Below are 14,328 nucleotides of genomic sequence, written 5' to 3'. Positions count from 1 at the left end.
ATCCTGTCCCAGTGTATTAGTCCGTTCTCATGCTGCTACAAGGACATACTCACGACTGGGTAATTTATAAAGGAAAGAGGTTTAATTGACTCAAAGTTCTGCAGGGCAGGGGAGGCTTCAGGTAACTTATAATTGTGACAGAAAGGGAAGCAAAAATGTCGTTCTTCACAAGGCAGCAGGAGAGAGAAGAATGAAAGCTGAGTGAAGGGGGAAGCCCCTTATAAAACCGTCAGCTCTCAGGAGAACTTACTGTGATGAGAATAGCAGCATGGGAGTAAGTGTCCCCATGATTCAATTACCTCCCACCCGCTCCCTCCCACCACACATGGGGATTATGGGAACTATAATTCAAGATGAGATTCAGGTGGGGACACAGCAAACCACATCATTCTGCCCCTGGCTCCTCCAAAATCTCATGTCCTCACATTTCAAAACCAATCATGCCTTTCCAACAGTCCCCCAAAGTCTTATTCCACCATTAACCCAAAAGTTCAAGTCCAAAGTCTTATCTGAGACAAAGCAGGTCCCTTGTGCCTATGAGCCTGGAAAATGAAAAGCAAGTTAGTTGCTTCCTAGATACAATGGGAGTACAGGCATTGGGTAAATACTCCTGCTCTAAACGGGAGGAATTGGCCAAAACAAAGGGGCCACAGGCCCCATACAAGTCCAAAATCCAATAGGGCAGTCATTAAACCTTAAAGTTCCAAAATGATCTCCTTTGACTCCATGTCTCACATCCAGGCCACATGGATTCAAGAGGTGGTCTCCCATGGCCTTGGGCAGCTCCACCACCCCTGTGGCTTTGCAGGATACAGACCCCCTCCATGCTGCTTTCACGGGCTGGCACTGAGTGTCTGTGGCTCTTCCAGGCACATGGTGCAAGCCGTCAGGTGATCTACCATTCTGGGGTCTGGAGGACAGTGGCCCTCTTCTCACAGCTCCACTAGGCAGTGCCTCAGCAGGGACTCTGTATGGAGGCTCCAACCCCACATTTCCCTTCTGCACTGCCCTGGAGAGGTTTTCTATGACAGCTCTACTCCTGCAGCAAACTTCTGCCTAAACATCCAGGCATTTCCGTATATCCTCTGAAATCTAGGCAGAGGTTCCCAAACCTTGATTCTTGTCTTCTGTGCACCCCCAGGACCAACACCACATGGAAGCTGCCAAGGCCTGGGGCTTGCATCCTCTGAAGCAATGGCCAGAGCTGTGCCTTGGCCCCTTTTAGCCATGGCTGGAGCTCAAACAGCTGGGACACAGGGCACCATGTCCCAAGGCCACATAGAGAAGGGGGACTCTGGGCCCGGCCCATGAAACCATTTTTCCCTCCTCAGCCTCTCAGCCTGTGATGGGAGGGGCTGCTGTGAAGGTCTCTGACATGCCCTGCAGACATGCCCTGTAGCATCATTAGGCTACAAATTTTCCAAATTTTTATGCTGTGCTTCCTCTTGAACGCTTTGCCACTTAGAAATTTCTTCCAACAGATGCCCTAAATCATCTCTCTCAAGTTCAAAGTCCCACAGATTTCTAGGGCAGAGGCAAAATGCCACAAGTCTCTTTGCATAGCAGAGTGACTTTTACTCCAGTTCCCAAAAAGTTCCCCATCTACATCCAAGACCACCTCAGCCTGCACTTCATTGTCCATATCACTATTGGCATTTTGGTCAAAGCCATTCAACAGGTCTCTAGGAAGTTCCAAACTTTCCCACATTTTCCTGTCTTCTTCTGAGCCCTCCAAACTGTTCCAACCTCTCCCTGTTACCCAGTTCCAAAGTCGTTTCCACATTTTCAGGTATATTTATGGCAGCACCCCACTCTCTGTGGTACCAATTTACTGTATTAGTCCATTTTCACACTGCTATGAAGAAATACCTGAGACTGGGTAATTTGTACAGGAAGGAGTTTTAATTGACTCACAGTTCTGCATGGCTGGGGAGGTCTCAAGAAACTTACAATCATGGTGGAAGGGGAAGCAAACACATCCTTCTTCACAAGGCAGCAGGAGACAGAAGAATGCATCAGATCTCATGAGAACTTACTATCACAAGAATAGCAGCAAGGGGGTAACCACCCCCATGATTCAATTACCTCCCACTGGGTCCCTCCTAACACACATGGGGATTATGGGAACTACAATTCAAGATGAGATTTGGGTGGGGCCACAGCCAAACCATATCACCCAGGAATGACAGAAAAGGAAGTATACATGTTTCTGCCTGCTCACTCTTGAGATTTGTTTCCAGGGCACTATCAATGCTGTCTGGTCCGACTCTTTGTCAATGCTGTCTCAGCAACCAAGCAAGAAGAGTAAACAAAATCTCACTGAGAGCTGGACACCACAAAAGCCATTACAGCACTGAGCAGATACCATCAGCCTGAATGTCAAATACAGCCGCACCAAGTCCATAGACCAAGCCTCACTAACTCTGAGCATCACCTTCTCTCTTTAGCCCCTGACCTGCAGCCTGTTACTAAGTCCCCTACTAAGAGAATTCCAGAATTCCTTAAGGGAAAAAAAAATCTTATGCCCCACTTCCAACTGAAATATTCCTCTATTCCACCCAACTGAAGATAACTTTCACAGTTTACTGCAGACATGTACTTTAAACAGAAGCAGTTTAGCTTCTGGTTGCATTAAACCTTTGTTCTCCAGAATAGTTTCTTGCGTTTATCTTTACATAACCAGAAGGCCTACTGAAGTGTTGCTGTTGTTGTTATAGGAGTAATCTGCCCCCAAAAGTCAAGTCAGACTTCCATCTCTAGGAAAACAAAAAGGGTACAATCTTTAAATAACTATTGCTAACCTGCATCCAAGCCTTTGCTTCTACCCCACAAGGTTTCAAAGAATATTAACGATTCCATCTAATTCCATTACAGAAGGCCTAGTCCTATCTCAAAGTCGAGTACAGACACAGACATTTTTCTGTTTCCCTCTGACCCTAATAGAATGTTTATATATTTGGAGCACTCTCTGTCAACATATTTTTATGCCTCAATATCTCCAGGAAAACAATAAACTCTGTTAGTAACAGCACCTCACAGACTCCAACAGAGTTTCATTTTGGAGAATATATAAGGTCTGCAATACACAGACCTTACAAAGACAAAGCAGAATTTTGAGAGGTGAATATTTTCATAGCTGAATTGTGTCTTAGTCTGTTCAGGCTGCTATAACAGAATACCTTAGACTGGGTAATTTATAAACAATATTAGTTCATTCCTCACAGTTCTAGAGGCTTGGAAGTTTAAAATCAAGATGCCAGCAAATTCAGTATCTGGAGAGGACACATTCCTCATACATGGCAGCTTCTATCTGCCTTCATATGGCAGAAGGGGTGAACAAGTTCCCATGAGCCTCTCTTCTTCTCCAAGGCCCCACTTCTTACTAATGTTGCATTGGAGATTAGGTTTCAACAAATGAACATGGGGAGGAACACAAACATTCAGAACATTCCACCTTGGCCCCCAAAATCCATATCCTTCCCACATGCAAAATACATTTATTCCATCCCAATGGTCCCCAAAGTCTTAACTGGTTCCAGCATTAACTAAAATCTAAGTCCAAAGTCTCATCTAAATATCATCTAAATTAGATTTGGGTGAGACTCAAGGTATGATTCATCCTGAGGCAAATTTCTCTCCAGCTGTGAATCTGTGAAATCAGAAGTTATACGCTTACAAAATACAATGGTGGGACAGGCACAGGATAGATATTCCCATTCCAAAAGATAGAAATAGGAAGGAAGAAAGGGGTGGCTCATCCCAAGTAAGTTCAAAACCCAACAGGATGAACAATCTTAAACCTTAAAGATGCCCCACTTCCGGACACACTGGGGAAAAGGTTAGGTCTCCAAGGCTCTGGGCAGCCCCACCCCTCATGGCTTTGCTGGGCACAGCACACACAACTTTCCCAGGTTGGAGTCTCCTGCCTGTGGTTCTCCCAGCCTGGAGTAGCAGTGGTTCTACCATTCTGGGGTCTCAGGGATGGCCCCACTCCCATGGCTTTATGAGCTATTGTCATAGTAGGGTCTCTGCAATATCTTCTCCCCTGTACCATTTCTCTGCCTGGGCTCTGAGGCTGTCCAGAGCATCCTATGAAATCTAGGTGGAGGTAGCCATGACCCCACAGCTCATGCGCTCTGAGCATCCATGGTGATGACACCTCACAAACACCGCCAAGGTTTACTGCCTGTGTCCTCGAAGGGACAGCCACTGTGGACTGCACCACACTTGGGCCCACTGGAGCCACACCTGGGCTAGCTGAGAAGCACTGCACCAGAATGCAGGGAACAAAGACTTGAGGCAATACTGTGCTGTGAGGTCCCACAGACTCTAGAGGCCCCTCTTTTGACATGTCATGCACAAGACATTTCAGTCAATGACAAACTATACACAATGGTGGTCCCATTAGATTATAACACTATATTTTTACTGTACCCTTTCTTTTTTAATTTTTAATTTTTATGGATACATAGTATGTATATATATTTATGGAGTACACATGATGTTTTGATACAGCCACATATTGTGTAATAAACACATCAGAGTAACTGGAGTATCCATCAACTCAAGCATTTATCACTTCTCTGTGTTAGGAACATTGGACTTTTTCTATATTTAAATATGTTTAGAAACACAAACACTTACTGTTGTGGTACAGCTCCCTACTTATTCAGTACAGTAATATGCTGTACAGGTTAGTAGCCTAAAGCAATAGGCTATACCATATAGTCAAGGTGTAGCAGGCTGTACCATCAAGGTTTGTGTAAATACATTCTATGATGTCCATACAATGATAAAATCACCTAATGACCCATTTCTCAGAATGTATCCCTGTCATTAAGGGATGCATCACTGTAGTTGATCTAGTCTGTCCCCCAGTCCCTTGGCCCCCTGGGCTTTTGAGTAGAGTGGCAGCCCAGATGATCTCTCTGAAATGCCCCAGGGGTCATTCTTCATTGCCTTGATGAATAACACCTGGCTTCTAGTCTGACCACGTCTTACTAGTCTCTTTATGAAATAGTCACTTGGCCACACTGTTTCATTTTTTCAAAAGAATGAAAAGCATTCTTTTTCATTTTTTAAAACATGGCCAGGTTGACAATTTTCCAAATATTTAAGTTCTTCTTTCCTTTTGATTATAAATTTCATTTTTAATTTGTTTCTCCCTTCTCACATTTTACTTTATTAACATAGAGAAGCCATGCCACACCCTCAACACTTTGCTTAGGTATTTCTCCTACCAAACATCCTTTCTTCTCACTCAGAAGTTCTACCTTCCACAAAATACTAGAATACAAACTCAATTCAGCCAAGTTCTCAGCCACTTTATAAAAAAGATTGCCTTTCTTCCAATTTCCAATAAGATGTTCCTCATTTCCATCTGAGACCTCATCAGAATGGCCTTTGCCATCCATATTTCTACCAGCATTCTGTGCATGATCTCTTAGGTAATCTCTAAGAAGACGGAGGCTTTCTCTACATATCTCTTCTGAGCCCTTATAAGAATCACCCTTACTGCCCTGTTCACTTCAATGTAGGTTTTTTCTAGCATGCAAACTCCAAACTCTTCCAGCCCCTCCCCACTACCCAGTTCCAAAGCTGCTTCCACACATGTAGGTATTTGTTATAGCAACACCCCACTTCTTGGTACAAATTTCTGTCTTAGTCTGTTCAGGCTGCTATAACAAAATACATTACAGTGGATAATTTATAAACAACAGAAATGTATTGCTCACAGTTGTGGAGGCTGTGAAGTTCAAAATCAAGATGCCACCAGATTCAGTGTCAGCTAAGGACCCATTCCTCATACATGGCAGCTTCTTAGTGTCCTCACATAGCAGAAGGGGTGAATAAGCCCCCTTGGGCTCTTTTATAAGGGAACTAATCTCACTCACGAGGGTTCTGCCCTCATGACATAATCACCTCCTAAAGGCCCCACCTCTTAATACTATTGCATTGGAGATTAGATTTCAACATGAATTTTGGGGAGACACAACATTCAGACCATAGCATCCCTCCACTTTCAACCCTCACCTTCCCCAAAATAAGAATAAGTTCTTGGGAGGCTCTAACTTACTGACTTTCCCCCTCTCAATATTTAATCAGCTTCATGTGTTTATTTCAAACTTTATCACTTCAAAAGTTCAAGTCCTTCTGTTACATTAATGTCTGGTTTCATTTTTCTTTATTCTCTGTTCAAACAAGTTGTTAAAGTCTATAGTTAAAGAGGAGCCATATAGAGAAGGCTAATGCTCATTTCATTAGAAAGAACTAAATTTTACATTTGTAGAGTAGAAACACTGCCTCAAAACATAGTGATCTCTGATTCCTTCTACATTCTCCTTAGCTTACAGATATCCTGAAAATGATACGCATTTGGTAAGCAAGGAAGAGTGCTATCCTACCAAATTTACTACAAATTTGAAGACTTCTTCTGGTTTTTCACGTTTAATTTTCTGTTTTTTTTGTTTTTTGTTTTTGTTTTTGTTTTTGTTTTTGAGACAGAGTTTCACTCTTGTTGCCCAGGCTGGAGTGCAATGGCGCAATCTTGGCTCACCGCAACCTCCACCTCCCAGGTTGAAGCAATTCTCCTGCCTCAGCCTCCCAAGTAGCTGGGATTACAGGCATGAGCCACCATGCCCAGCTAATTTTGTAATTTTAGTAGAGACAGGGTTTCTCCATGTTGGTCAGGCTGGTCTCGAACTCCCGACCTCAGGTGATCCACCCTCCTCGGCCTCCCAAAGTGCTGGGATTACAGGCATGGGCCACCACACCCAGCCTTCACTTTTAACTTTCAAAATGAAACAGTTGTATCAGGAATACTCCTCCGATAAACAAGACCAATATATGGAAATTGTATTATATAAAAGAAAAATAAATGCATATTCACTTTGTAAAATAACTTATCCAGTGAATTTCTTTACTAGCAAGTTTCCCCAGTACTTCAAAAAAATGACACAATATATTTTGAATTTTGATTTTTACACATGGGAGGACAGACTTATATAAAATGAGGTACAACTACAGCCGTAAAGAAAATTCTTCCCCACCAATTCACCAACCCTTCTCTATACATTAATATATTTACGTACATACTCGTTCTAATCATGTGTATCCTAATGTATATAGAATATGAGTAACTGCACAAGTATACAGTTGCTATCTGCTATTTGGATAATTGCTGCAACACAACCTGTTTTCCATATCACACTAGAAGAGACTGAGCTGAAATGTCAGTTTTCAGAATAAACACTTTTAAGCATCTTACTTGGTGAGTTAGGAGTTCAGTATCTCAGGTGCCAAAGGGCTCTGACCTAACATTTGCTCATTCCTAGAGAAAACAGTTATGTTGAGTCACAGGCAGAAAGATAAGGAAAACACTTTTAGTTCTCAAATTAAGTTAGTCACTCGTTTTGCAACTGCATTCACGTCTGACAGCCTTGATAGACAAATATTTCAGGAGAAACTTATATAAAGAAAATAAATTGCCATTTGGCACTTTTCATGCCTGGCACCCTCAAGGAGAAGAAGACCCCATCTTTATTCCACAAGCAGCACTTCCTGCTGCTTTGTTCTTTATTTAGTTCTCTTTAAAGTTCAGCAGCATTTTAATTCTTTTTCAAATTCTCCAAAATTCTAAACCATTCCATACGTGACAGAATTTTAAATAAATCCTCATAGTTTCAAAAGTATAAATAAAGTCCTGAGCCACCACTGAAAGCAGCAACCAGTGTCTTTGTCAGGTACCCTTGCCTTCAGGCCCATCTTGATGTCCTTGGCTAGCACCATCTCTCCCTTCCCTCAGGCCACAGCCACCTGCTGCCTTCCACACACTTGGGGCTCCTAGTTTCATCCGCTATGTCTGCCTGCTACAGACTGCATCTCTCAGCACTGAATGCATTGCGTTGCATACTCTCATCCACCTTTCCTTTTTCCTAACAGGATCCTTACCTTTTTTTTCCCCAAAAATTCACTCCTGCTCCACACAGTCATGTTCTTCAGGGAAGCTAACTCCATTCCCAGCTTTCAAGCGGTGGATCTGATTAGTGTGAGTAAATCAGTACCTAGCAGTCTCCCGGTGACTATCATGACTTAAGTTGGCCCAATCAAACTGAAGGGAAAGACAGTTGGAAAAGCAGTTTTTTTCTCACTCTCCCTTCCCTCTTCCGGACGTGAATAAGGAAGCATGAGGCCCTACTTGTCAGTGGCAGCCCTCTTGTGACCATAAAAAGAACCATCTTCAGTTTGAAATTGATGTGGAAATATCTGGGATGAATTCTTGATGTCATTGTTGAGCCACTAATCATACTCCTCTGAAGCTCACCTGACTACTGAACTTCTTTCTTGTAGCACTTCTCAGAGGCTTTACCATTCCAAAATACACTGTGGCCCTTCAAGAGGGAAGTGTGGTAGTCTGCCCTTCCCAACCAGATTTGATCACGCAGCCCTGTCTCTCTCAAGGACTAGTGTTCCACGGAACTCAGCTTGGGGAACACCACACTGTGGTCATTTTAGGATTATCTGGGGCCAAAATTTCTCCTGACATGCTGTCAATCACCAGCTACTAAAGAGCTGGGGGTAAAGAACACACAACGTAAATCCTTAAACCCAAAATGTCCTGCTTGAGATATACACTATGTGTTAATAGTTTGGACACAATCCAAATTCCACAATCACCTAATAATTTCTTTTTCTAAACCAAGTCAATACTAATTTATTAAATTATATATTTATTTTATTCACAAATATTTGGCATGATTCCTCTGCCCCAAATATTAAAATATCAACAAAAACAAGGCTTACTTCTGCCTAACATTCAAAGCCATCCTGATCTGACCCTTCCCTTATTAGCTGTTTGTCACAACTCCCCAGCCCAGTCTTCACCTTAGACTCATTACTCTCTCCCATCTCTTGAGTCCTCAGCTCAGATCCCAAATGCAGCAGCCTCATCCTTTCCAATTTTTTTTTCAGGTCTGGAATTGCAAATTAATTTTAATTATACATTTAGTTATATAAGCAATACATTAATACATGCTCCTTATAAAAATCTAAATGCTAGGCTAACATCCCCTTTGATAGCCCCAATTGTGGTTCTTTTCCTGCCTCTACAAAAGTAACCACTGTTATCAGCTTTATGTGTAACCTTCCAGACCTTTTTCTGGGCATTTATACACACATATATGGACCCACAGAACACATGCAGGCATCTTCCATTCTATTTCTGCTCACTGTCCTCACCTTGGTTATGGACAGCTTTAAGGTCCCGGAAGCCAGGAGAGGTATTGAGAGGTGACAGCATGCTGGCAGCCCTCGTGGCCCTCACTCGCTCTCGGTGCCTCCTCGGCCTCGGCACCCATTCTGGCCGTGCTTGAGGAGCCCTTCAGCCCGCCGCTGGACCATGGGAGCCCTTCTCTGGGCTGGCCGAGGCCGGAGCCGGCTCCCTCGGCTTGCGGGGAGGCATGGAGGAAAAGGCACGGGCGGAACCAGGGCTGCGCGTGGCGCTTGCGGGCCAGCTAGAGTTCCGGGTGGGCGTGGGCTTGGCGGCCCCGCACTTGGAGCCGCCGGCCCGCCGGCCCCACCGGCCCCGGGCAGTGAGGGGCTTAGCACCTGGGCCAGCAGCTGCAGAGGGTACACCAGGTCCCCCAGCAGTGCTGGCCCACTGGCTGTGTGCTCGATTTCTCACTGGGCCTTAGCTGCCTCCCCGAGGGGCAGGGCTCAGGACCTATAGCCCGCCACGCCTGGGTCTCACCAGCCCAATCCCCCCCACAACTCCCCCCAACACCCCAATCCCCCCGCCCCCACGCCGCCACGCCACACTGTGGAAGCTTTGTTCTTTCGCTCTTTGCAATAAATCTTGCTGCTGCTCACTCTTTGGGTCCACACTGCCTTTATGAGCTGTAACACTCACTGCGAAGGTCTGCAGCTTCACTCCTGAAGCCAGTGAGACCACCCACCCGGAGGAACAAACAACTTCAGACGCGCGGCCTTAAGAGCTGTAACACTCACAGCGAAGGTCTGCAGCTTCACTCCTGAAGCCAGTGAGACCACGAACCCACCCGGAGGAACAAACAACTTCAGACGCGCCGCCTTAAGAGCTGTAACACTCACAGCGAAGGTCCGCAGCTTCACTCCTGAGCCAGCGAGACCACGAACCCCACCAGAAGGAAGAAACTCTGAACACATCCGAACATCAGAAGGAACAAACTCCGGACACGCCGCCTTTAAGAACTGTAACACTCACCGCGAGGGTCCACGGCGTCATTCTTGAAGTCAGTGAGACCAAGAACCCACCAATTCTGGACACAGTATTAGCTCCTAGAAACTGGGATCAAGGAAAAGAGAAGTACAACTTAGTCCCTCTGGAAAAATGGATAATACACAGCATCCACTGTTACACCAAAAATGTCATATTCTCAGAGGGCAAGAACCGGACAGCAAAGCCCTCTCACAGTAATGCATGGAGGAGAGAAGAGGAGCTATGGGGTGTTAGGAGCAAGGCTGTCAGGATCCCTGAAGAAGCATTATGATGTGGTTTGGATTTGTGTCCCCACATCTCATGTTTAATTGTAATCTCCCATGTTGGAGGAGGGGCCTGGTGGGAGATGATTGGATCATGGGGGTGCATGTCCCCTTTGCTGTTCTTGTGATAGTGAGTTCTCACCAGATCTGGTTGTTTTAAAAGTGTGTGGCACCTCCCCCCCACGCCCTCTCTCTTCTGCTCTGGTCACGTAAGATATGTCTGCTTCCCCTTCACCTTCCACCAAGATTGAAAGCTTCCTGAGACCTCCCCAGCCATGCTACCTGTGCAGCCTGTGGAACCATGAGCCAATTACACCTCTTTTCTTTATAAATTACCCAGTCTCAGCTATTTCTTTATAGCAGTGGGGGAATGAACGAACATAACTTACAACCTGGATCGGATGTCACAGGGCAGCAATGGTTTGACGTAGGCAACACTCCAACCCTCATCAACATTGTGCAGTCCAGCTCTTCCCTGGGATCTTCTTCACAAGCCACACTCCACTCCCCCAGCCCCTCTCTACTTCCCACCCCTTCCGTCTGGAAAGCTGGGAGAGCTGCCATTTTGGATTTGGACAGCTACTTCCCAAATGTCCAACCAAGGGAAAGTGGGGAAAGAAAAGAAGGCCCACCCATGTTTAAAGTGGGTTTGCCTGTTCCTTGCCCACTCTTCATCGTTACAGCCAAAACCGTTCTCTCCTGAGTTTGACAGAAACACTCTTAGGACAAATGTGCTAATAGTGGCATGTTTTCCCCCAGGATCAGAGAGAGAGCACAACTGGGGGTGAGGTGGAAGGGACCCCCTGATGAAGTGGCAGTACAAGGGGAAAAGGGTGCTGAGCAAGAGTCAGACACACATCTGCACTGGCTCCCATCACCTCCCTCCCCACGCACTCCACCTTCCCCCTCATTTCCTGCACTGAGCCTTTGGTTATGAAACCTCTTTTGTTAATATCCACTAGATGTATTTGAATAAAATAACAAAATAGCCAAGTATAAATGTAAAGTTTCCATTGAAGATGACCTCACTAGATTCACAACTCCTTCAGAACAGCAAAGCCCTGTGTGAAGCCAGCAGAGTGGGTGAGTGGGAGCTTCACCTGGGTTCAGGCAATGCTTTTAATTGACTACAATCCTCAATTCGGGCTCATGTCCCAGAATACAAGGCAAGGCTGCTCTCTTCTGGTCATCTAAGACCTCTGCCTTTTCTTTTTTTTCTTTTGAGACGGAGTCTCGCTCTGTCGCCCAGGCTGGAGTGCAGTGGTGCGATCTCTGCTCCCTGCAACCTCCACCTCCCAGGTTCAAGTGATTCTCCTGTCTCAGCCTCCAGAGTAGCTGGGCTTACAGGTGCCTGCCATCACACCGGGCTAATTTTTGTATTTTTAGTAGAGATGGGGTGTCGCCATGTTGGCCAGGCTGGTCTTGAACTCCTGACCTCAGGTGATCCGCCTGCCTTGGCCTCCCAAAGTGCTGGGATTACAGGCGTGAGCCACTGTGCCCGGCCTGACCGCTGCCTTTTCATAAAGAAAATCCAACAGCAAAAAAGAATACATATATATTTGGAATTCTGCCCAGCATAATAATTTCTGCCTTCCTCCCTGACTTCATGTCCTCCCTCTGTCTCCTCCCCCACTCTGTCCCTCACTGTCCCACTCACAGGTGATGCTCCTTCCTGGTTTAGGCCTTTGCACACGCTGTTCCTCCTGCCTAGAGTGCTGCTCCTCCTGGTCTCTGCATGACTATTTCTTACTTGCCATTCACACTAAATGTCTTGTCTTACTCTAAATGTCATCTCTCAGGCCTTTTCTGGATTTCTGCTCCAATATAGTCACTTTTTTATATCTATTTTAGCTTTCTGCATAGAACCTAGCAATATCTGATGTTTTTCTTTTTTCTTTTTGCTGTTGCTGATGTTGTTTTTTAATTGTTTGACTTCTAGACTAGAATGGGAATGGGAATTTGCCTTGTTCATCCCAGCATCCCAGACATCTGAAAACAGAGCCTAGCATAAATAAGTATTGAATGAGTGCATCTTTGGACCTGCAACTTCACATGTAAGCCCTTGCCTAATCCTCCTTCTATCTCAAAGCTTGTTTCTCATCCTTCCCTCCAACTCATGCTTTCCTCCAACCAGACTCATTTATTTAAAGTTCTCCTTTCATGCATGCTGTGTTGTCTTCCATTCTTTTCCACATACAGTCATGGGCCACATAACAATGTTTCACTCAATCATGGGCCACATATATGACAGTGGTCCCATAAGATTATAGTACTGCATTTTGACTGTACCTTGTTAATGTTTAGATGTATTTAAATCCATTGTGTTACAATTGTATTGCCATTGTGTTACAATTGCCTACAATATTCAGTACAGTGGTATGCTATACAGAGTTGTAGCCTAGACACAATAGGCTATACCATATAGCCTAGGTGTGTAGTAGGCCATGTCATCTAGGTTTGTGTCAGTACACTCCGTGATGTTTACACATTGATGAAATTGCCTATCAACACATCCCTCAGCATATATGCCCTTTGTTAATCGACATGTGACTGTACTGTTCTCTCCCTTTTCTGTTCCCCCACTTGCCTGAAACCCTAGCTTCTCCACCTAGCTGAATCCTTCCTGTCTTTTAGCTGTTAGATCAAACATCACCTTCTTCAAAAACAGTCCCCATCTACCTCCTTCCATCCTCAGCCAGGCTACAAGTTTCTCCTCTGTGTTGGGAATTCTCTGCTTGCATGTACCAAATTATTTATGTCATTGTTCTGGTTATGTGTCTATTTACTCCTATTTACTCTCCTAGAGATTGAGATCATGAATGGGGATCATGTTAGTTTCCATACATCTGCAGCCCACTGACAGGTGAGTACTCAATAAATGGCTGCTGAATGAATAAATAGAAAACATGTAAATATTTGAAAGAAAAGAAAGAAGAGCAATAGAAAGAGGCTCTGCATGGTGGCTCACACCTGTAATCCCAGCACTTTGGGAGGCCGGGGCAGGTGGATCACTTGAGGTTAGGAGTTTGAGACCAGCCTGGCCACCATGGTGAAACCCCATCTCTACCACAAATACAAAAAATTAGCTGGGTGTGGTGGTACCCGCCTGTAGTCCCAGTTACTTGGGAGGCTGAGGCAGGAGAATCGTTTGAACCTAGGAGGCAGAGAGTGCAGTGAGCCAAGATCATGCCACTGCACTCCAGCCTGGAGTGCAGACAGAGTGAGACTGTGTCTCTAAATAAATAAAGGGAGGGAGGGAGGGAGGAAGGAAGGAAGGAAGGAAGGAAGGAAGGAAGGAAGGAAGGGAATTACTGAAATGCAAGAGAAAAGACTTCATCTAAATCTTTTAGATTTAGAAAAAAAATCCTGAATGAGACCTGAGAAACATCATATCAAAGTTAGGGGGATCTAAGACCTGCAGTGACCCTCCTTCATCTATTCCACTGGTTTTGATGCAATGATGTAGAAACCTACTAGATGTAGCCTTTTCAAACTATTTCTATTTATTATAAAATTATTGAACACAGCAAAAGATAATCCAGTATAAAATTACCTGACATCTAAACTAGGCCTTCCTGTTAATATACATACACCATGTCTTTGGGGTAGGAGTAGAAGGCCACAGTAGTAACCTATAGGTGGGATCCATGATTGTGCACTATCACCCTGTAGGTATGGATGTGTGCCCTCACCAATCCACAGGTGCCTAGGCTCTCACTGGGGGTTGGATTCAGTAGGAGGGCTCTCATTAGAGCAAAATCAAAAATCTTTCTCCAGAGGCTCACCCTCCCAGCTCAGGCAAGGGGATGG

This window comes from Homo sapiens, chromosome 7, assembly GCF_000001405.40.
Source record: "Homo sapiens chromosome 7, GRCh38.p14 Primary Assembly".
Lineage (NCBI taxonomy): Eukaryota > Metazoa > Chordata > Mammalia > Primates > Hominidae > Homo > Homo sapiens.
Note: the sequence above shows the minus strand (reverse complement) of the source record.